This window comes from Homo sapiens, chromosome 10 (genome assembly GCF_000001405.40).
Source record: "Homo sapiens chromosome 10, GRCh38.p14 Primary Assembly".
Taxonomy (NCBI): Eukaryota; Metazoa; Chordata; class Mammalia; order Primates; family Hominidae; genus Homo; species Homo sapiens.
This window is the reverse complement of record NC_000010.11, coordinates 120,276,152-120,300,038: the sequence shown is the minus strand read 5'-3', so window position 1 is coordinate 120,300,038 and position 23,887 is coordinate 120,276,152. Positions and strand designations below refer to the sequence as shown.

The 23,887-nt window shown below is 42.7% G+C and overlaps 1 long non-coding RNA gene across 2 annotated transcripts in view, besides 1 other annotated feature; it reads right to left on the bottom strand.

The window, feature by feature from the left end:
• Positions 1–23,887, bottom strand: part of LOC105378515 (uncharacterized) — a 164,918-nt gene that overhangs the window by 37,499 nt on the left and 103,532 nt on the right. The window contains exons 6-7 of one of the 2 annotated variants that reach the window (XR_001747605.1): positions 11,572–11,649; positions 5,906–5,946 (exon numbers count right to left, since the gene is read on the bottom strand). This is a non-coding gene — a long non-coding RNA (uncharacterized LOC105378515). Of the gene's footprint in view, positions 1–5,905; positions 5,947–11,571; positions 11,650–23,887 lie in introns of those variants that run through there. The other variant, XR_001747606.1, reaches the window with a different exon arrangement.
• Positions 21,493–22,062: an enhancer, noted in NCBI's record as "NANOG hESC enhancer chr10:122037489-122038058 (GRCh37/hg19 assembly coordinates)". NCBI's record gives its function as "activates a minimal SCP1, AML or CMV promoter by ChIP-STARR-seq in primed H9 embryonic stem cells {active_cell/tissue: H9 hESC(primed)}" and the evidence as "EXISTENCE:reporter gene assay evidence [ECO:0000049][PMID:30033119]".

Here is a 23,887-nt window from a genome sequence, read left to right as displayed (position 1 = left end):
GAGAGGCAGTAGATGACAAATGTTTCCTATTCAGACCCTTAAAAGGTGCCAGATTCTCAGCCAAACTCTTCAGGATCAGAAAAAGACCTGGAAAGGGCATAAGATTCTCTATAGAAAGAGAATTTCCCCCACAAGAGACAGCTTTGCAGGGCCATTTCAAAATATATCAAAGGAATATATTTTGGGGTAAAATACTTTGATTTCTTTCAGGGCCCTGCTATCTTTGGCCAGAACTCCAAGGGGAAGGTATAATGAGGCATATCTGACCCCCTCCCATCCCTGCCATGGTTTGAACTAGTTTTTCAGGTTTCATTGGATCCCCTTGACTGAGAAGAGGGTCCCTTCAGTCAGTTGCAGGACTTAGAATTTTGGTTTTTGGTTTACACATGTAACCAAAGGACCCAGCAACAGGCTTGTGATTTGCCCAAGCTCTTAATTTTACATCCAGGTCTCTTGACCGAATCTAGTGTTCTCTGTGGTATGCCCATGGAGTAGGATATAATGTTACTGGTGAAGGGTGTCCAGGTTCTTGGCATCTTGAACAAAGAATTGGACAAAATGCACAAACAAAGCAAGAAAAGAGTGAAGCTACAAAAGCAGAGATTTATTGAAAATGAAGTACACTCCAAAGAGTGGGAGTGGGCCCGAGCATGGAGGCTCAAGAGTCCTGTTACAGAATTTTCTGGGGTTCAAATACCCTCTAGAGGTTTCCGTTGGTTACTTGGTGTATGCCTTATGTAAATGAAGGGGGTGAAGTAAAGTTACAAAATTATTTACTTGGTGTATGCCCTATGTAAATGGAGAGGATATTTCCTGTCATGGCTGAAGTGGTTCCATTTGATTTAGTTCTAGGAAGTCAGCATGAATCAGCCTTATGTTCCCTGCCTCCAGACCCTATCCTCCTGCCTCAGTAATATTAATCTCTTACCCAGTACAGTGAAGGAGATAGTAGAAACAATACAATAAATACAAAACTCACTCATTTATCCAGAGCAGTGATTCTTAATTAGGGGTAATTTTTCCTCGAGAGACATGTGCCAACGTCTGGAAACATTTTTGGTTATGACAACTGGTTGGGGAGGGAGTACGTTATTGGCATCTAGTGGTTAGAAGCCAGAGATGTTGCTATATCCTACAATGCACAGGACAGATATCTCCCCTCAACAAAGAATTATTTGTCCTAAAATATCAATAGTACCAAGGTTTTGACACCTAGAAAATAGGATTGTCTACCATATTATTCAGGATAACAGGCAGTGGTCCAAATAATAAACATTTTTCAATGTTCTCCAAATTCTCAATGGCTTGACACCTAAACGTTTGCAATTTGCTTCTGCAAAGTCTTTCATGGACTGCTGATTCTTATTTCTGTAGTGGCTCAGCAATCCAGACTATTCTATCATATGACATTGACATCTTAGCACATGGCTTCCAGGTGGCTAAGGCAGGGTATAGGAGAGATGGAGGACTGCCTACCAGCTTTTAAGTGCTCCAGCCCTGAAGAAACACCAATCACTTCCATTTAGGACCTAACTGCCAGGAGGCTGGGAAGCATGTGATGGAGTAAGGGCAATGCAATGGATGTTGAAGAATAAATGATTCTGACACACCATCCATATAATCCAGCACTGCTATATTTTTTAAGGTACAGAAATCTACCCACACAATGCATTACTAGGCTACACATTTAATTATCTGCATATATTCTATGTAGTGCATTACTAAGTTATCTCCTGGAACCCCAGGTTTTATTTTTAACCTCAAAGCATTATTTTGCCATAGCAGCTCCTCCTGAAGCCAATAAATCTTATTTCTAAATAAGTGTCATTAAGGCCTGCTTTGCTTTGTGGTGATTGGACTATGATCTGTGATGGTCAGGCCACAGCCAGGCTAAATTCTGTTGACTCAAAGAGCATCCCTTCTAAGAAGGACAGAGTCACATAAATGAAATTATGTCCATTGCTTGCAACCAAAGTACAGATGCAGAACATTTGTAAGTGAGGCCAACATATTTTCATTACAAATAATTAGTTGGACTCCATTTATACAGAGATGTTGTATTTCAGTTAAAAGTCTTTAAATATTCATAAGGTAGAGTTTCTCAATCATTTTGGGCAGTGTTTTTTAACTATGGTGCAGAGCCATTCCGGCCACCTTTTCCAAACATAAAACATCCCTCCAAATTTCTAATTCAACAGAGGTATACTTATCAAGATTACTGTGGTTGCAAAGAAAGGATCTGATTCTGGCTAACTTGAGAAACAAAAGGGGGAGAGTTTCTAGAAGGACAGTAGGGAGCTTATGGATGCAAAGATGGGACTGAGCAGTCAGGGCTTGGGAAGGACAGAACCAGAGGCAACTCCAGGAAAGGCAGCAGCCAAGGTTCAGGAACCTTCTACTAAGTTCTAAGAGTTTCAGGGTAACTCAGCTTCATCACCCTCATCTATTTGTGAATCTCCATGTAATTTCACATTTCCCAGGAGTTGCAGGATTGGCGAGGCTGAGAAGGGTATCTCTGCCCTGCATCAATCAGCTATGGGAGTGTGTCCTTCCTTAAGCTGTGTAACACTGGGAAAGTTACTTGACCTCTTTTTGCCTCTGTTTAATTACCTGTGAAAGGGAGATGATCATAGTACCTGCCTCTGGAGGAATTGTTGTGACTGGGTCTTTAAGTTCCAGTTGGTGTTTAATACTGTTTGGACCTAGAACATGTGTAATTTGGAAACTCCCTCTAGGCACTTCTAATGGGTAAATATTCTGAGCACTTACAATGGGCCAAGTGCTACATAAAGCCTTTTAACTGCTGATATAGCTTGGATGTGTGTCCCTGCCCAAATCTCATATTGAAATGTAATGCCCAGTGTGGGAGGTGGGGCATGTTGGGAGGTGATTGGACCACGGGGACGGAGTTCTCAAGAATGGTCTAGCACCTTCCCCTTTGGTAGTGTCCTCGAGATAGTGAGTGAGTTGTCGAGAGATCTGGTCATTTAAAAGTGTGTAGTGCCTTCCCCCTCACTCTCTCTTCCTTCTGCTTTTGTCATGAGACATGCCTGTTCTTGCTTCACCTTCCCCATGATTGTAAGTTTCCTGAGGCCTCCCAGAAGCTGAGCAGATGCTGCTATGAGTTCTGTACAACCTGCGGAACTGTGAGTCAATTAAACCTCTTTTCTTTACAAATTACCCAGTCTCAGGTATTTCTTTATAGCAATGCAGTAATGGACTAATACACCTGCATTATCTAATTCAATCCTCAAAAGAGATGTACAGGCAGGTACCGACAATGCCTGATACCTTGCCTGGTGCTCTATGACAGGTGCTCCATAAATCTCAAATGAATCGATGAATGGACTAATGAATAAATAAATGATGACACCACTTCCAACCACTTCAGCCAAGAATGCAGGTGGTGATGTGCAGACGTGATGGCTCCCCACCCCTTAGACCCATGCTCCATTGGAGACCCCGGACCCTGTAAATGTCCAGAGCCTGCTTCTCAGTGGAATGGAGCTTGCTCCTCTCATGAGGCCACCATTCTAGTTGGTGCTTCTTGCAGGGACCAACAGCCCTTCTCTTTCTAACATTTGTCTCAGATATGTACGAAAGTTTAGGACTACACTTTTTCTTCAATTTCATGCAGAGTTTATGTGTATGGCAAGGGCTACAACCATGACCCTTCATACTTCTTGGGAAGTCTGTGTAACTTTGGGCAAATTATCATCTTTCCCTGAGGCTTAGTTTTACAATCTGTGAAAGAGGGATAAAGATGATAAACACCTCAGCTGTTGTCACGTGAGCAAGTGCATGGAAAAACATCGTAATTCTTGAAATATAGTAGAGGTTCAATCAATACTGGCTAACATAATAATAGTATTTAATTATCAATACCATAGATGATGGTACCATAGCTGGTAAAGGAAATGGATGGAAGTGAACTCCTCCCAAACAATAGCTTATTTTTGAAGTATTTTTCTGTTTTCTTGATATGTTCTTTTGTTAAGATTTTCCTCATCCATAAAACATGAATTCTGGAATCAGACAGCCTGGGTTTAAATTCAGATTTACCACTTACTAGCTGTATGACCGTGGGCAAGTTTATTAACCTCTCTGGATTTCAGTTTTCTCATCTGTAAAATGCAACCATGTTACTATTTAATCCTTAGAGCTGTTGTGAGGATTAAAGGGAAGAGTATTTGTTAAGCAGAATGGTAGCTCCACATGAGAAGTACTATTTAAGTTTGTTAAATGAATGAAACAGAAGGCAGTGGGGGAGTTTCTGGTCAGTTTGTATATTCAGTTGATTGGTTTCCAGACATTACTTGTTGGTAAGAATGTCAGTTAGACTAAGCTTGCCCCATTGTATTTCTGGGCTCACCATTTGATCATTTTTCAAATTTAGATTATAGAAAACAATTACACCTTTGCTATGTTTATCATCCGGGTCTATGCAGCTTGATGAAAAGTAACATCATGAGACCTCGTACGAATCAAAATATATTGAAATGCTTTGATCATTGGGAACTACTGGAGTCCAGCTGTCTCCTGGGCTCAGTACAAATAAGTGACACCTACTTCTGGTTGGCTTTGAGATTGTGAAAGTCTTAGGGCACAGATGACAAAAAGGCATTGGGAGCCAGCAGATGGTACCTGCTAAACAGACCCTTCAAGATGAGCAACAGCTGGAGAAGGCAGGCAAAATGCCCCAGAGCAAGTTGTTTTGCACATGAATTGTTGCATTTATGATCAAGTTTCCCTGAGGCTTACCAGAAGGAAGACTTCATAAAGCTGTCTCTATAGAAGATGCTGTAGAGAGGAAAAATGTCTAGTGAATACTTTCAACTTCTTTTGACTTTCCATCCTCAAGGGGAAGGATCAGGAGGGCTCCTAGAGCCCCCTCCCTAGAGGACCCAGGAAAGCCCAACCCGCCAAGGAGGAGAGGAGTTTCCTTTGCACATTTTCCATTCTGTGCCATGGTCATTGCTAGACTTGAGTTTCAGCTACAGCCCTGACTTTGCTTCCAATAGCTGGATATTAAACTGTTTTCAGTTCAGCCTTCTAACCAGAAGGAATCAGGTTGGCTTCACTGGTTTTCCAAGATTTCTGAAACAATTCTCCATTCAATCCACAACGTGCAGAAACCAATTTCCTTTGTCAAAATTTAACTGACCAGGTTTCATTTCATCTTCTGGGTACCTATTAATCAGAATTAAGAGTTTTCCTTTTCCTAACAGATGGAATAGATGGTAGACTCAGCAAAATACTAGTGACGTTCTTTTCAAAGTTTCATTTTATTTGTTCATTTAAATTGCAAAGTCACCTGCAGCAGCTTAATGCTGAATAATTTTATCTTGTTTCTTGAAAGGTTTAGTTTAGAAAAACTGACAGATAATAAAGCTACCACAGTCCAGCCCTTGTCAACTTGGCATCTAAACACACCTCTGTTAGCCGTACTTAACTTCCAAATAAAAAAGGCAGCAAAATCATTCTTCCTCCTCACATGTATACCTGAAAACACACTTCCCAAAAGACACAGAGACCCTTTATCCATCTTTGGGTCACATTCATTCCTCATTTGGCTGAGTCAAACTCCCCTTGTGAATATCTAAAACTTAAATACTGAGATACAAGATTAACTACTATTAGCCCAGGTGCAGTAGTTCATGTCTGTAATCCCGGCACTTTGCGAGGCTGAGGTGGGTGGATTGCTTGAGCCCAGGAGTTCAAGACCAGCCTGGGCAACATGGCAAAACCCCATCTCTACAAAAAAACAAACAAACAAACAAACAAAAACACCCAAAAATTAGCTGGTCTTGACGCCACAAATCTGTAGCCCCAGCCACCCAGGAGGCAGAAGTAGGAGGATCACCTGAGCTTGGAGGTCAAGGCTGCAGTGAGTCATGATTGTGCCACTGAACTCCAGCCTGCCAGCCTGGGTGACAGGGTGAAAGCCTGTATCAAAAAAAAAAAAAAAGTTAACCACTATTAATACATCTTAGGTAAGATGGTAAGGGAATGAGGAAGGAGAGAAGAAAACAGTTAATATGCACACAAACATAGGTCTATCAAAATAAGGAAGAAACACTCTTAACTATTATAGTCTCTGCAGCTGGCCACATAGTCAAGCTGGTACAACTATCTTCCTTTACCACTTATGGCTTAGTGGGTCAGACAATACCCAATTTGTAATAGGTTGCTCAGGTCACATGGTCCTTTGGTGGCCTGTCATTAAGCATTTTATGTTGTCCGGAAGAACCTGCAGACACTTCCACCCCAATTCACTTACAGCTAACCAACCTAACCATTAAGTTCCTGACTTTCACTAAACTATTCTATGGCAGAAACTACATAGTCACCTACAAAACTAGGAGCAGGTGAAAAAGTCTAAAAAGGCTGTTGACTTTGCATCTGGTGATAAGTTTGACGTCACTATGGGGTGGCAGGAATGAAGTCAGGAAGAAAAGCTGGACATGAAGACAGGGAGAGATCAAGGACAAGACATAAACTGCAGACACTCTCTAGATCACACAGGGACAGACTGGAACCCACAACACGAACTGGAATGTGTGTCTGCCACTCACCACAGTAACCTGATGATACAGTCACTAGCAGAAGGAGATGGCATCCCTTGCCATGGAGTTGCACACGTACCTGCCCCAGGACCTGGAGAAGTTGGTGGAGGAGCTCTGGTGGGAACTACAGGAGGTGTGGGCTCATCTGCTGCCCTGTGCCAATAAACTGAGCCAGTAACAAGGTGAGAGGCCATCGGATGCCCTCTACACTGACCTGCAGTACACAATGGCCACCACTTTATCTCGGCTTCTAAATCATATGCAAATTCCTCTCGTGACCCACTCTAACCCAGAACCAGATATGGCAAGGAATTCTAAGAAACATTTCCACCTCAGCTGATGGGACATAAAGTCAATACGAGGATGGAAATCATTTATTAGATTGCCGGAAATCTCTGGGAACAACTTTTCAGGAACAAGTTTCCTATTCAATGGCACTTTTTTTCCTACACACATATTAATATGTTTTATCATTATGATCATCATCATAGCTAATATTTATTGCATATTTACTATGTGACAGATATTAGCCAGCTACTTTGCATCCATCCTTTGCATCAATTATCACAATCACCCTATGAAATACCTCCTATTATTTCATTTCACAGATGAGGATATTAAAGCTTGGGAAGAGTTTAAATAGATTCCCAAGAATGCACAGGAAGTAAGAGGCTGCATAGGCATCTAAACAGAGTAAGCTTTATTTCAGAGTCCTTTCTCTTAACTGCTAAGCTATAATATTCCTAACTTCGAACAAGATCCAAATGTTGATAAAGGTCTTAATCATTCAAAAATAAGAAGCATAGACTCTCTTTATAAATTTGGTTTCAAAGAAAAAGGGATATGTTAAGAATTGTTTGTAATCATAAAAAATCTAAATTTACACATCACTTATACTTAATTTAGGGCCACCATTACTTGTTTCAAATTCCCAGAAAAGTACGAGATTTCAATACTAGTTTTAAAAAGGCATTAGGCATAAAATAATTTCTATTCAGGTCAGATAGGATATGAGAGCAATACTAACGTAAATCAGATGGGCTGATTTCGAAACAAGGTCAGAGCAATGTTCATTCACACATTTTTTTACTTGCTCCTTGAGCTAACATTTAGGAACATTGATGGTAAATGTCTGTGGGGCAGACACCAAGGACATTGAGGTTCTTAGGGGAGACAAAACATCTTGAAAGGAGTCATGGCATTTCCCCTAACTAGAAACCAGAGCATAGGCAGACCAAGTGTCTAAGAGAAAGAAAGATCAAGTAGTGAACCAGAGTTTAGAGAAGGAAGAGAAATGTCTAAATTTGATTTCCCTTCACTTCTGGTGTTCATAGACATCCAGGTCTATGGGTTATATGGTTTGATCTGTGTCCCCACCAAATCTCATGTTTAATTGTAATTCCCAGTGTTGGAGGTGGGGCCTGGTGGGAGGTGATTGGATCATGGGGGCAGAGTTCTCACGAATGGTTTAGCACCATCCTCTCGGTGCCGTTCTCATGATAGTTAGTGTGTTATCATGAGATTTGTTTGTTTAAAAGCATGTAGCATCTCTCCCCCCTTCCTCCTGCACCAGCCATGTGAGGTGTTCATGCCCCCTTTGCTTTCTACCATGATTGTAAGTTTCCTGAGGCCTCCCTAGAAGCTTAGCAGATAGCGGAATCATGCTTCCTGTACAGCCTACAAAACTGTGAGCAAACCTCTTTTCTTTATAAATTGCCCAGTCTCAAGTATTTCTTTATAGCAGTACAAGAAAAGACTAATACAACAGGGGATCTCAAAATAATTTTGATTTAGGCCAAAGAGCCATAAATTCTGGGGAAAAACAATGACCGGGGGAGTCATGAGCTCTAGATTCCATTTTCCTGTTTCTCCCACTAATTCGCTGGGTGGTCTTAGGAAAGCTACTTCCATTCCTCTCTGGTTCTCAATTTTATTATCTGCAAAGTTGGGGGAAGGACTCCTGAGATCAACAGATTTCTTTTCTGGTTTCAACAATCTGGCATTTTATGACTCTAAACTTTTTCCTGTAAAGAGGAACCATCCTAATCCTTCGCTCAGGAAGACACACTCTTGATGCTGACGATGCTGCTACTGCTGTGTTCTGGCTTTTATTCCGTGGTGTTTTTGTTCAGTGTCAGTGATGGGTTCACCTAGATCCATCGTTACTCTGCCATTTTTCTTTAAGGTCACCAGATGGCTCAAATCACAACAGACCAAGAGAAGATGGGCCACACTTAGAGTAAGCCCCTGACACTGGCCCTGGGAAAAGAGCATTATATTCAATGGAAGCCAGTAGCCCCCAAGCCATGAATGATAGGACCCTTCATACATTAGGGAGACAGATTCATTGTACAGAGAGAGGCATTGCTGGTCAACTGTTCTTAAGACTAGTGCAAACTTCACGGACTGAATAAAAATGAGAGGAAACATGATATTTGACAACCATTTTTAGAACTGAGCTAAAAGCAGATTAGCTGGATAATCTGGGTAGAAGAGCAAATAGCTTGAAATACACATTACAAAAATAGTCATTTGTGTGTGTTCTGGGGGCACATTTTAAGAGGGGAAAGAATTCAGGTCCAGGTTCCATGACTCTCATGTTAAGTCCTGGTCATGAGATCATGCATATTACATGCATTATTTCATCAAGCTCATGACAGGTGCTGTTTCTGTCCCAGAAGAGGAAACAGCCTTAGATAGGAGAGTGCTTGTCCAAGGTTAAATGGCAAAAGAAAGAGGTGGGACTTGAATCCAGGTCTAACTCTAGACCATTCTGTCCTTGTATAAGTGATTTGGGCTCTGCCTATAGAGCACCAATGCATCTGGATGAAAAGTTGAAACTTGCATGCTTATGCCATGTACACATTGACCTAGGTCAGGTCAAAGGGCATGTGGAGATCTCTGTTGTGTATGCGAAACATGGATGAAGAGGCACACTCAACATTTCATTGAATAGACACCACCTGAGAGGCACTGTGCTAGGAATTGGAAATACAGAAACGCAAACAACAAAAAACAATGAGGCCACTGCTACCACACACCAGAAAGATGTGTGAAAACTGTAGAATGACCCAGGGGACTGTGTAATTACGCTGGGGTGGATTGCTGACATCTCAGAGAAAGCACTCTTTGAAATGAACCTCAAAGCACAGTAAGCACTCCCTAGTGGAGGGAGAAGTAAGGCAAGAGGGGAAATGTATTTAAGACAAAACCTCAGGAAATAAAGGTAGGTATGAGAGCACCAGAGCTGACTTTCCCTGTGTCCTACAATTCTCTAAAGCTGCTCCCCTCGGCTTGTATTAGGAATGCTCTGGCTCTCTTTAATAAGCAAGACTGACACCCAGTCCACGGCTTTGCAGCGTGATTGGAATTAGCAATACTAAGGTGAGGCACCTGTGGCCTTGCTGGGCTGTGAAATAAATCAAGCATGGACAACTTCTCTATCATCCTGCTGCGAGTCAAAAAACACTTGGTCCCAGAACATGTGGGTGGTCATAATTTACTCTGAAAGCTGAGAAGAAAGGGTTCAGTGAGCATTTAACATTTAATAGGAATTATATCACAGCCACTAAATATTTGGGGCCTAGAAAAAGCTTTCTGTTCCAGATATGGCTGCTCAAAAGAATAAAATAAAATAAAATAAAATGGAATAATAAAGAAAGCTCTAAGTGAATCAGTGGGGAATTGAGGAAGTCATTACTAGAACTAAAGAATCCTGCTTGATTCTTCTTCCTGGACTGGCTCTCGTGGAATTTAAATAAAGCCTTATAGAGATAGTTTTAAAAATCTGGAATTATGCTTAAAGGTAACGAACTACAACTTTTAAAAGAAGCTATGGAAAGAAAATTAAAATTGGCTTCAAATGCATCATTTATGGCATAGACCATTATCTTTTTGTGGCAGTTTATCAAGTTGTAGTCTTCTATGTAATTCTCCACCCTCTTCTCCTTTCTCCTTGTTTTCTATACTCCTTCCTAACCACATCCCCAAATCATTTGCAAATTTTCCAAGCACCTTCCTAGTCTATCCATTGAATCCCCTTTGGGACTCTTTTTGGGTTTTACCTCTTCCTTCAAACTCTTATGCAAGAAAGAATAGTGTTTAGTCATGGCCAACACAACTAAAAAGCTTGAAAACCTGACACTCAGCAAACTCATAATTATGACTTTCTGTTTACTTCACCTCTCAGATCATCATTGTGCCTATTCCTCATTTTCGTAATCATTTTGTTCCCAAAAATAGTGTCCAATTTTTAAAAAATAAATCAGATCTTAATAGGAGGGGATTTTCTACTTAGGGAAAACCTTTAGTGAACTACCTTATAAAGCAAATAAAATGTTCTATAAATATTTGCATCTGGCCGGGCGCGGTGGCTCACGTCTGTAATCCCAGCACTTTGGGAGGCTGAGGCAGGTGGATCACAAGGTCAGCAGATCGAGACCATCCTGGCTAACACGGTGAAACCCCGTCTCTACTAAAAATACAAAAAAAATTAGCCGGGCACGGTGGCGGGTGCCTGTAGTCCCAGCTACTCGGGAGGCTGAGGCCGGAGAGTGACCTGAACCCAGGAGGTGGAGCCTGCAGTGAGCCGAGATAGTGCCACTGCACTCCAGCCTGGACGACAGAGTGAGACTCCACCTCAAAAAAAAAAAAAAATCGCATCCTCACAAATCCACTTATAAACCATACTTTAAGTGTATTAAAAAATCAGGATACCACCCCCTCTAAATGCTTAAAGCATTTGACATTTTGCGTGGGCATATCATACATATTTGTTGATGATTATCATTAATATTAAGCCTCAGAAAGAGTTTCATTGCATCAAAGTCATTGTTCCCTTAGAGACATGGCAAAACAATGTCAGCTTTCAAAACGTGGTAAGAAATGGGAAGTGCAGGCAGGAGATCACGAACTTGGAGGGCTTTCCTTGCTCACTGATGTCAATTCGTAACAGAATAATTTTTAAGGCACTTCTGAAAATTAAACTAATTAAAATTTTACCTACCTTGGAGATGATTTTGGGAGGGTAGTTTCAGTTTCAAGCGAAGTTCAGTTTCCTAAGGTATGCTTGCTAAAAAAAAGTCTAGAGAAAAAAGGAACACACATGAACTTAAATGAGTTGGATTAACAGGAAAGCTGTGGCGGTGGTGGAAAAAAAAATAGTCTATGTGGTCATTATTACTCAAATAAGAAGCTTTTTTTTTTTTTTTTTTGAGACAGAGACTCACTCTGTTGCCCAGGCTGGAATGCAGTGGCATGATCTTGGATCACTGCAACCCCTGCCCCCCGGGTTCAAGCAATTCTCCTGCCTCAGCCTCCCGAGTAGCTGGGACTACAGGCACCAACCACCATGCCTGGCTAACTTTTGTATTTTCAGTAGAGACGAGGTTTCACCATGTTGGCCAGGCTGGTCTCGAACTCCTGACCTCAGGTGATCCACCCACCTCAGCCTCCCAAAGTGCTGGGATTACAGGCATGAGCACCCGGCCTCAAGTAAGAAACATTAAAAAGTAACCAGATATATTGCCCAGAAATTCTTTCTGCATATCACAGAACTGGACTAGCACAGTTAAGAATCACATGCAGCTTATCTATTTCTTTTTTTGTTTTTTGTTTTTAGTTTGCCTCCATTTCTCCTTTCCCACCCTCTTGGGGGACCAATGCCTTGTGTCTCTACCTAGAATCTCCCGTAAGTAGTCATCTTGGCAAAACATTTGTGGTACTAAAATGCTTGGTGAGACTACCTCACCTGGCCCTCCTTCCCAATAGCCCACTGAAGCTTCTCCTTGCACAGCTGCCCCCAAAAATTCTGCCTAGAGCAGCGTCACCTGACATGGGCTCCCTGGACCAGCAGCAACATCAGCTGGGAGCTTGCGGGAAATGCAAATTCTCAAGCCCCACCTTGATCCACTGAGTCAGAATCAGGGGCCCAGAACACTGTTTAAGCAAGCTCTCCATGTGATTCTTATACACATTGAAGTTTGAGGACTGCTGACTTAGAAAAAACATCAGAAAGGGAATTCCAGCAATGGTGGAGACAAGAGGTGCCAGGTGATCTCCAGGACCCCTTTCAACAAAGAGATTCTAGCCCAAAGCACTTTGCCCACTAACTGTAAGTACTGAAGTACGTGATGCAAAAGGAAACAACTAGAAAATGATCTAAAGTCTTATTGAATAAGTTCCCTGAACTTTGGACATGAGGATTCAAAATTAATGACTCAAAGTTTTTGGCAATGAACGGTACATCTCAATTCTCTGGGTCTCTGGAGAGAGGCTAATTGGGGCCCATAAATTGAATTACTTAGCGAGTTGATTAATGTTCTGAGAATGGGATGGGGGGCCAAAATGGATGCATTCTGCTGATTTCTAGAATGAGGACTTGGTTAAAATCAATGGCTTCACCCCACTGTAAACAAGCTAGATCAATCCAGGCTGTGGGCAGTCACGTTAATATACAAGAAGAAGACAATCAGGCTGCAGGCAGCAGGATATCAGAGAAATTTTGTATTTGTCAGAAAACTATTTGTCACCTTCAGGAATATAAGAGTATGGAAGGAAAAATCAAACAGCAATTTCGGCCAAGAATAGATTTTCCTGTATGTGGGAAAGGGGATGCCTAGGCCCTGGTCATGCAGAGTTAAGTCAATTATTCTCTTGGGCTAAATTGCTGTCAGCCTCCACTTCATAAACTGAATATTTGCTGTGCCTTTTCCACAGTCTGCGTAAATGGTGGTGTGGATCTCTGGGAATAGACAGCTAGGCTGCACTGCTGACTCGGGGCCAGCACAGGGAAGTCCTCACTGTTCAGCAGTGAGCTCTTGGCATTGCAGATTACCCAAGTGCTTCGCACAGGCCCAGGTCTGCATCCCACACTGCCACACCCTATTACCACCACCTGGAGCTACCTCCTAGACAAGAGAGGCTCATACCTTCAGCAGGTACCCAGTGAGAGAGGGCCACACCTGCAGCACATACCAAGTGAGAGACGGTCACACCTTCAGCAGGTACCCAGTGAGAGAGGGCCACACCTGCAGCACATACCCAGTGAGAGATAGTCACACCTGCAGCAGGTACCCAGTGAGAGAAGGTCACACCTGCAGCAGGTATTTCATGAGAGAGGGCCACACCTGCAGCAAGTAGCTAGTGAGGGAGGGCCACACCTATAAGAGGTACCTAACGAGGCTCACACCTTTAGCAGGTCCTGCTCTCCCATCTTTCCCATAAAGGCCCAGAACTCCCATTCCCAGTTTCTCTGCAGTCCTACCTCACCCCTCCAACCTCAGGGCCCTCTACAGGTTAACCATGCTTCCCTGCTTCCCCAGGCTTCAGCCACTCCTGCTACAACTCCGAGAGAATTCTGCCAGGTAAAGAAGCTGACGTACATTCAAAAAGTGAAAAATGTGGGCACCCAGCACAGTTAGACTGAGCAGAGAGGACACAGGACACAGAGCCACAAGAGAGGCCTAGGTCACTGTGGTAGGCAAATAACAACCTCCCTACCAAAAAAAAAAAAAAAGATGTTCACATCCTAATCTCAGAACCTGCAATATGTCATTTTACCTGGCAAAAGGGAATAAGGTTGCAGGTGCAACCAAGGTTGTGGATCAGCTGACCTTGAGAAGGCATGAGCATCCAGAATTACCCAGATGGGCTCAATCTAATCACAAGTCCTTAAAAATGGAAGAAGAGGCAGAAGACAGATCAATGTGAAAGGCACCCTACCCACTCTTGCTGGCTTTGAAGCAGGAAGGAGGTAGGCCTCGAGAGAGAGAGAGAGAGAGTGGTGGCTTCTAGAAGCTGGAAAAGGCAAGGAAATATGTTCTCCCCTAGAGCTTCCGGAAAGAAACCAGCCCTGCTAACAAATTATTTTAGCCAGCACAACCTGTATGGGACTTCTGGTCTAAAGAGCCATAAGATACTAAATGTGTTTCGTTTTTAGCCACTCTGTCTGTTGCCACTTGTTACAGCAGTGACAGGAAACTCATGCAGTCAGAGGAGGCTTTGGTGGGCTTGGCAAGACCCGCTCTGGCCGGTGTCCCAGCATGGGACAGGCACAGCCACCGCCTAGCTGGATGGGAAAAGTGGAAAGAAAGCAAGAAGAATAAAAGATGCTTCATTTTGAACCATTAATTCATCCCTGAAATTTCACAAACACTTAACTGATGGAAACTCAAGAAAAAAAAGAGGTCTTCACTTTGATCTTAATTTGAGTTGAAGCTTTTAGAAAATGAAGCTGTTTACCACCGGAAACAATCTTGACAAAACAACCTCAAATAATGTCACAAAAACACACTACAGAGCTAGTGACATTGTTTTTAGCACATCCATAAAGGGAAAATAGAACCTAGCGTCTAGTATTCTATAAATTCCGCTGGCATATTAGGAACATCTTGACTTCAATAATTATATGCCATAACAGTATCTAAAACATACAGTATCCTAATTTTGCGTGGTCTTGGGGTTTTTTGTTTGCTTTGATTTTTAGAATTGTGTGAATTCACACTCGGGTGCCTTCCTGCGTGGTGGAAGTAAGAGACACTCAAAAAAGAGCAGATGTTGTACTAGAAGATATAACATACAAGGATGATTTTTAGTGGGCTCTACTGGAAGAATCTCAAGGCTTCTCTGTCTCCCTCCACGCTGCCTGCCCGGTGGAAAGGACCCTTTGTTAGGTGGAGTATTTGGCCTCCAGGGCAAGGCCAGTGCCACGCTCACTGGTGAGAGCTGCGAGTGAGAGGTCTCTTCTCTCACCCCTCTAAGATGAATGGCTTTGGTTTACTCTGTCCACACAGCGGCCAGGCCATGTCAGCCCTGGGTGTGGGGACCAAACAGGGCTTTCTCTTGCTATTTCGTGCTCTCTGGTGACAAGTCCCCGTGGACTGCTGGGAGTGTTGAGCCACTTAGATTTAGGAAACAAAGGTCCTCTATGTCCTCAAACCCATTTTACCAGGGAGGCCTGCCCCGGCTCTCAGATCCAAAGGCCCAGTAGCAGGAAGTGCTCAGCGACTGTGCTCCAGCACCCTCTGAAGAGCAAGTGAAGAGGGTCTTCAGGGGGCTATGGCTGCACTCCACTGGGTCCTGAGGCCACAGCCAACTCACCCCTCAAATGTAATATCTAAAGAAGAGGGAAAGAGGTGGGGAGAAAAGAGAAGAAAAGGAGGAGAAGCAATTATTTCTGACTAGTGGTCCGTTGCCTGCCAGCCAAGGGGACTCTTGAGCAGTGTCCAAACCACCTGCAGAACCATTCAAAGGAGGCCCCACCAAGATGTGCACATGTAGGGAGGCATGCGTGGGTACTGCTTGCTAGCACCTTCTCCTTTAGAGCCATTTCCGTGGAGCTTTTGAAACACATTAATGATTCCGATTCCACTGACTCTTGCAGACACAAAGTTCAGCACAGCAGGATGGGCAACGCATAGAACTCATGCATTTTCTTTAAAGAAAATGTGTTCTTCTGAGCACTGAGAAACAAGAAGCTTTTCTTTTTCCTTTTTTGTACATACAACTAGATATTTTGTCTGGGGTGAGGTAATAGCTTGTCAGCCCAGCCTGTGATTTTGAATATGAATCAGTTGAAAAAACTACAGCTTTCAAAAAGGAAACCTGGATCTAAACAGATAATAGTATAACTAACATACTTTGAGGTTGTACAATATAACTTACACATGTGTCACATCTATCAGATGATGCATGTTTAAGTGCAAGTTTAATTCTTCAAAGCTTCTAGAAGCGAGATGGTGTGGAAGTGAGGAGGGGACAGTAGGGACATTTTATAATTCATCAGACTAAGTACAACAGCTTAGGTATGTGTGTTTAAAAGCTGCTCCTTCCTATGCCTAAAATTCTTGTCTCAGGCTAGAGAGTTCACCTTAAGGCTTAACCACAATTCTTTCAAATGTGGAGGCTTTTGCCCCCAGAGAAGATATAACCAAGGTAATTTAATCAGAACAGAAATAATCCACGTCTCACCAAGCCCATGGCAGGCTTCTGCTGCATGTTAACAGAGGCAGGCATTTATTATCATTGAAGACTTGTCTTTTAATTTGACATTTAATACAGCTTCTTGTCTCTGAGGCCTTCGAGATGTACATACATTTTTGTTTCGCTCTAAGTTAACATTCTGCCTTTCTTCAGAGATCATCACTCTTAATCTCCTTTAAACACTTCCTCAAAATGAACAGCTGTCCTTAGCCTGTCTGCCTAAAGTCTATTCTTGATAACGATCACAGGTTGCAGTGAGTTTGAACTTCAATACTCAATGATTTCCGTCTTAGGCTTGCAATCCTTGGGGCCAGGAACCTCATCTTTTTATACATTCTGCAAAGCATCTTGTGAACTTATAGCCCTCAATAAATCACATACCGTAGCAGGGGCGATCTCTTTCCATTTCCACCCTGGGGACTGTGGCCATCTATATTTTATGGAGATCTCTGTTAACCAGGTCCATTAATTTTGCAGGAAGCATCCTAAGTGCAGATCTGCTCCTGTATCACATGAGTTGCCAACTGGCCTTTTCCACAGAGGCACCATAGGGACCCCATTTATAACAACATCCTTAAGCAAGGACTGTGATTTGTTGTTGTTTTCATTCAGGAGCTTTAAGGTGCATTGTGGATCACTCTCTATGCAGGAGCAACATTGACCTGGGCTATGCTGAGCACGGGTCCCCTACAGCTGTGGAGTCTGGGAAACAGAATGCGCCGAGATGAGCTTCACTTTGTGGGCAGCATGGGCTAAGCCCACCCAAATGAACACCTTTACCTCAGCCAGGAGTTCACCTGGACAGACACCATGACAGCTGGTTGGTAGTGGGGACAGGAGGTAGGGATGGCGTCGGTCCCAATGGGGGGTCCTGAACCTAGAGTTTAGTCCCTCAGGGACGGATGAATTGGCTCCAGGTGTGGGGGTGGGGCCCTCCTACTCTTGGTTCACTTTTCCAGATCCTGAGCATCTAGGTAAACTCACCTGAAACCGATCTCAGCCTCCAAGCGAGACAGCCACTGCTCAGGAGCCAGGCACCCTGCAGTGTCTCCCTGAGCACCCATCTTCCATCTGTTGTATGAAGATGCCAATGCCCCTCTCATGGGACAGTGGTGAAGATTTAATGATAACACATGTACAGTGCACAGCACATGAAGCACTCAATACATATAAGGTCCTGATATTTATCATTTTTATTGCTGCTGGGCCAGATCTGACTCCTGCTCTGCAAGTCTTCAAAGGCCCACTTAAATTGACCTGGTCAGTACTGAGCATTCATATTCCTCTGAAAGACAAATGGCTGTGCCCAGCCAAAAAACTCTCTAATTCTGGGAGCTGAGATGTCAGCTATTCCACAATGCCTCCTTTGGACTGTGATATGGACTAAATGTTTGTGTGCCCCCAAGCTTAGATGTTAAAACGCTAACCCCCAATGGGATGGCATTTGGAGGTGGGCCTTTAGGAGGTAGCAGGCTCAGAGGAGGTCATGAGGGTAGAACCCTCATAATGGGATTAGTGCCCTTATAAGTAGAGATAACAGAGATTGTGAGCCCACCTCTCATGCAGGGGCACCAAACAAAGGCCATGTGAGGACACAGTGGGATGACATAAGCCAGGAAGAAGGCCCACACCAGAACGCGGCCATGCTGGCACTTTCATCTTGCACTTCCAGCTTCCAGGATGGCGATAATACAAATTTCTGTTTGCTTGGTTTTCTTTTTCTTTTTTTTTAATTAAATACTTTTACTTTTTAACTTTTAGGTTCAGGGGTACATATGCAGGTTTGTTTTATAGGTAAATTGTGTTTCATGGGTTTGGTTTACACATTATCTTGTCACCCAGGTAATAAGCATAGTACCCACAGGCTGTTTTTCAATTCTCTCCCTCCCCACATCCTCCACTCTCAAGTAGGCCCTGTTGTCTCTTGTTTTCTTTGTGTCCTTGTGTTCTCCATGTGTTCTCCACTTATAAATGAGAACATGCAATATTTGGTTTTCTGTTCCTGCATTAGTTTGCTTAGAATAATGGCCTCCAATTCTATCCATGTTGCTGCAAAGGATGTGATATCATTCTTTTTTATGGCTGCATAGTATTCCATGGTGTATATGTGCATTTCCTTTATCCAGTCTACCACTGATGCACATTTAGCTTGATTCCTTATCTTTGTTTTCGTGAATAGTGCTGTGATGAACACAGTCATGCATGTGACTTTATGATAGAATGATTTCTATTCCTTTGGGTATATACCCAGTAATGAGATTGCTGGGTTGAATGGTAATTCTGTTTTAAGTTCTTTGAAAAAATCACCACACTGCTTTCCACAATGGTTGAATTAATTTACAAATTTACACTCCCATCAACAGTGTATAAGTGTTCACTTTTCTCCACAACCTTGTCAGCATCTTTTTTTTTTTTTTTTTTTTTGAGACGGAGTCTTGCTCTGTCACCCAGGCTGGAGTGCAGTGGCATGATCTCAGCTTCACCTCCTGGGTTCAAGCAATTCTCCTCCCTCAGCCTCCATAGTAGCTGGGATTACAGGCGCATGCCACCATGCCTGGCTAATTTTTGTATTTTTAGTAGAGACAGGGTTTTGCTATGTTGGCCAGGTTGGCCTCAAACCCCTGACCTCAGGTGATCCGCCCACCTTGACCTCTCAAAGTGCTTGGGATTACAGGCGTGGGCGAACACACCCAGCCCGACTTTTTAATAATAGCCATTTTGACTGTTGTGAGATGGTATCTCATTGTGGTTTTGATTTCTCTTCCTCTAATGATTAGTGTTGTTGAGCATATTTTCATAGGCTTATTGACCATATGTATGTCTTCTTTTGAAAAGTGTTTATGTCCTTTGCCCACTTTTTATTGAGGTTGTTTTTTGCATGTAATTTAAGTTCTGTATAGATTCTGGATATTAGTCCTTCATTGGTTGCATAGTTTGCAAATATTTTCTCCCATTCTGTAGGTAAGGTTGCCTGTTTAATCCATTGATAGTTTCTTTTGCTGTGCAGAAGCTCCTTAGTTTAATTAGATCCCATTTGTCAATCTTCAGTTTAGCTGCAATTCCCTTTGGCATCTTCGTCATGAAATTTTTGCCAAGACCTATGTCCAGAATGGTATTTACTAGATTATCTTCCAGGGTGTTTATAGTTTAGGTTTTACATGTAAGTCTTTAATCCATCTTAAGTTGATTTTTGCAGGTGATGTAAGGAACGGGTCCAGTTTTAATCTTCTGCATATGGATAGCCAGTTATCCCAGCACCATAAATAAAAGTGGTGGAGTCTTTTCCTCATTGCTTGGTTTTTTGTCAACTGTGTTGAAGATCAGATGGTTGTAGATGTGCGGCATTTTTTTCTGGACTCTCTGTTCTGTTCCATTCATCTGTTTTTGTACCAGTACCATGCTATTTTGGTTACTGTGGCCTTGAAGTATAGATCGAAGTCAGGTAATGTGATACTGCCAGATTTGGTTCTTTTTGCTTAGGATGGCTTTGGCTATTCTGGCTCTTCTTTGGTTTCATATGAATTTTAGAATTAGCTTTTTCTAATTCTATGAAGAATGTCATTGGTAGTTTGATAAGACTAGCATTGAATCTGTACATTGCTTTGGGCGATATGGCCATTTTAATAACATTGATTCTTCCTATCAATGAATGTGGAATGTTTTTCCATTTGCTTGTGTTGCCTCTAAACTCTTTCAGCAGTGTTTTGTCGCTCTCCATGTAAAGATCTTTCACCTCCCTGGTTAGCTGTATTCCTGGGTATTTTATTTTTTTTGTGGCTATTGTGAATAGGAGTGTGTTCTTGACTTAACTCTCAGCTTGGACATTGGTGGTGTATAGAAATGCTACCAATTTTTGTATCCTGAAACTTTGAAGTCGTGTATCAGATCTAGGACTTTTTAGTAGAGATTATGGGGTTTTCTAGGTATGGAATCATATCATCTGCAGACAGAGATAGTTTGACTTCCTCTCTTCCAATTTGGATGCCTTTTATTTCTTTCTCTTGCCTGAAATTCCTGTTTAGCTGCCCAGCCTATGGTATTTTGTTGTGGCAGAGGAGACTAATATAGTGCCAGTACTTCTTCCTCTTGGCACCTTGCAGCCCTGTGACAACAGCTGCAAACTAAGTTTTACAGCCCTCTAGAGACCAGTCTTTCCTCTTTTTTTTTTTGCATCTAACTTCTTAATTTTTTAACTGACATAATAATGGCATATTTATGGGGTACACAGTGATGTTTTGATACATATACTAATCTGATCGCCAATCAGTATAAGTAAAACATATCCATCATCTCAAACATCATTTCTTTCTTTGTGTTGCAAACATTCGATATTCTTGTTCTAGCTATTTGAAACTACATAATATGTTACCTACATATATTCATCCTACAGAGGTAGAGAACACTAAAACGTATCCCCCTTATCTAGCTGTAATTTTGTATCCTTAACAAATCTCTCCCTATCCCTCTCTTCCTTTTTACCATTCAATTTTCTATAATAACAAAGTAATCCTGACCTGAGCCCCCTCCCACAAAGCTACAACAAGTGTTCCCAAGGACACTTGGGAAATGCATCCATATCCCATGGCTCCACCTTGCCCTGCTCCCCCAGCTTCCCACCTGTCATACCTGGTCACCTCTTACCTGCTCTGCCACTTTACTCCAGTTCTCTACAATCTACCCAGTCTCTAGTTGCAAAAACTTTACTCCAACTGCAAATGCAGACCTGTTGCCAAAGTTTAAGGAGCACGTAATAGAAGTCAATGCATAAGTTGGAAAGAAATCAGGTATCACAACCCCGTGGACCAAATAATTTCACCGGGGATCCTCAATGACCCTCTTTCCCTTATCTCCAATGCAGCAGTCAGGTCTCTGGAGTCAATTCATAGGCCCCATTAAAAATAAATAAATAAATAAATAAATAAAAGAAAAAACCTCCGTGATCATTTCCTTACTCCCTGAGGCCAAATCTGTTTGAGATAAAATCTCTGCAGAGTCACTGTACTCTCAATGGAGTCACCATCCTTAGGCAGGGGATGCCTCATTACCCATTCCAAACTCAGACCATAGTTTTGTCTTTTGTACAGCCAAATGCATCAAATAATAATTTCCCCCAAGGTGAGGAGCTTTGAGCCCTAAAGACAACTCAAGCTTCCATCTCTGGCCACACAAGGAATGTGAAAGCCTTGACTATCTTTTCTTTAAAGGTTACAAAAATCCCAAGTTCATATACATAAGAAAGGTGCTCCCAATAGCAAGAGGCAGGTCCTTAACTTCCATCTGCATGACCAAACGGGCTCACTAAAGGGACCCCCAAAGCAAGGGGAACATCTCTCCCAAAGATTGCTTTGTTTTTGTCATAAACTGCTAAGGTTTCCAAAATAGCATTTTCCCCTTGTCCCAACTGCAAATGGATCCCATCATCTAATCAGTTATCATGTTCTGTTTCCCTTCCATGCCAGGATTGACACTTTTTTTTTTTTTTGAGACAAAGTTTCTCTTTGTTGCCCAGGCTAGAGTGCAGTGGCACGATCTCGGCTCACTGCAACCTCCACCTCCCAGGTTCAAGCGATTCTCGTGCTTCAGCCTCCCAAGTAGCTGGGATTACAGGCGCCCGCCACCATGCCAGGCTAATTTTTGTATTTTAGTAGAGACGGGGTTTCACCGTGTTGGCCAGGCTGGTCTCAAACTCCTGACCTCAGGTGATCCACCCACCTTGGCCTCCCAAAGTGCTGGGATTACAGGCATGAGCCACCGCACCCGGCTGACACATCTTATAACCCATTGTTCCTGCATGCTTTTCTACGAATATCACTAACCGAGACTTTGCAGAACTTCACCTTCTACAGATTGTGTTAAAAATTGGCATTTTTTAAAACGTGTTTTTAACCACTTACCTCTGCCCCAGAGATTCATATTGGCTGTCTTGGCATCTGTTTCTTATTCTACCCCAGAAACTAAGAATCACTTATATTAGACTATGAGCTCCTTGGAGGTAGGGGCCTTTCCCACTGTCCCCTGCTCCTTGGAACTGGGTCTGGGTGAGATGCCTGATGGTACTTAAAAGCTTTACCCACATATGTGGGCCACCCATATAATTATTCTCTAAAAGCAGTGGGCTCCTCTTCTAAATATTCTTTATTTTATTTTAAGTTCTGGGGTATGTGTGCAGAACCTGCAGGTTTGTTACATAGGTAAACGTGTGCCACGGTGGTTTGCTGCACCTATAAATTCATCACCTGGGTATTAAGCCCTGCAAGCCTTAGCTATTTATCCTGATGCTCTTCCTCCCCCCACCTCCCTGACAGGCCCCAGTGTGTGTTGTTCCCCTCCCTGTGTCCATGTGTTCTCATTGTTCAACTCCCACTTATAAGTGAGAACATGTGGTGTTTGGTTTTCTGTTCCTATGTTAATTTGCTGAGGATAGTGGCTTCCAGCTCCATCCATGTCCTTCAAAGGACATGATCTTTTTCTTTATGGCTGCATGGTGTATATGTACCACATTTTCCTTATCCAGTCTGTCATTGGTGGGCATTTGGGTTGATTCCATGTCTTTGCTATTGTGAATAGTGCTGCAGTGAACATGTGCGTGCATGTATCTTTATAACAGAATGGTTTATATTCCTTTGGGTATATACCCAGTAATGGGATTGTTGGGTCAAATGGTATTTCTGGTTCTAGGTCTCTGGGGACTCGCCACACTATCTTCCTCTAAATATTCTTAATTGTTGCATTTCCTCCCTTTGGGCTCAGCTGCTCACTGCAACAGCCACTTCAATGATCCCTGCCTCTACTCTTGCCACTCTCTAATCCATGGTCCATGCTGTAGGCAGAGCAAGCTTTATAAAATGCAAATCTGACCATGTCACTCCTCAGCTTAAATGCTGCAATGGCTTTCCTGGCTCTTAAACCAAAGTGCAAAATGTCTCACAAGACTCTTAATGGCCTGGCTGCAGCCCATACCTCCTGCATCATTTCTTGCCACTGCTCTCTTCCTACTCTGTGCTTAGCCAGTCTGGACCCCTTTCAGGCCTTCGAATTTGCTGTTCTCTCCCATCTCACATCCTCTGGATGTGTTAGTCCCAATGTCTGACCCATGGTGAATAGATGTTAGTCCTCAATGCCTGTATAGTAAATAGATAAAGCAATCCATAGTGGGCTTCTCATAGCCTGAGCAGATTCCCAGTAAATATCTGAAGGGACAGGAAGGAAGGTAAGATGAGGATGGAGTGGGGCAGAGGGAAGAGAATAGAGGACAAGTAGCATGTTAGCTGATGAGACCACAGAGCTCAAGAACCAAATCAGTAGGTCTGGGGAGGATGAAGCATGCAGGATGAGAAAGA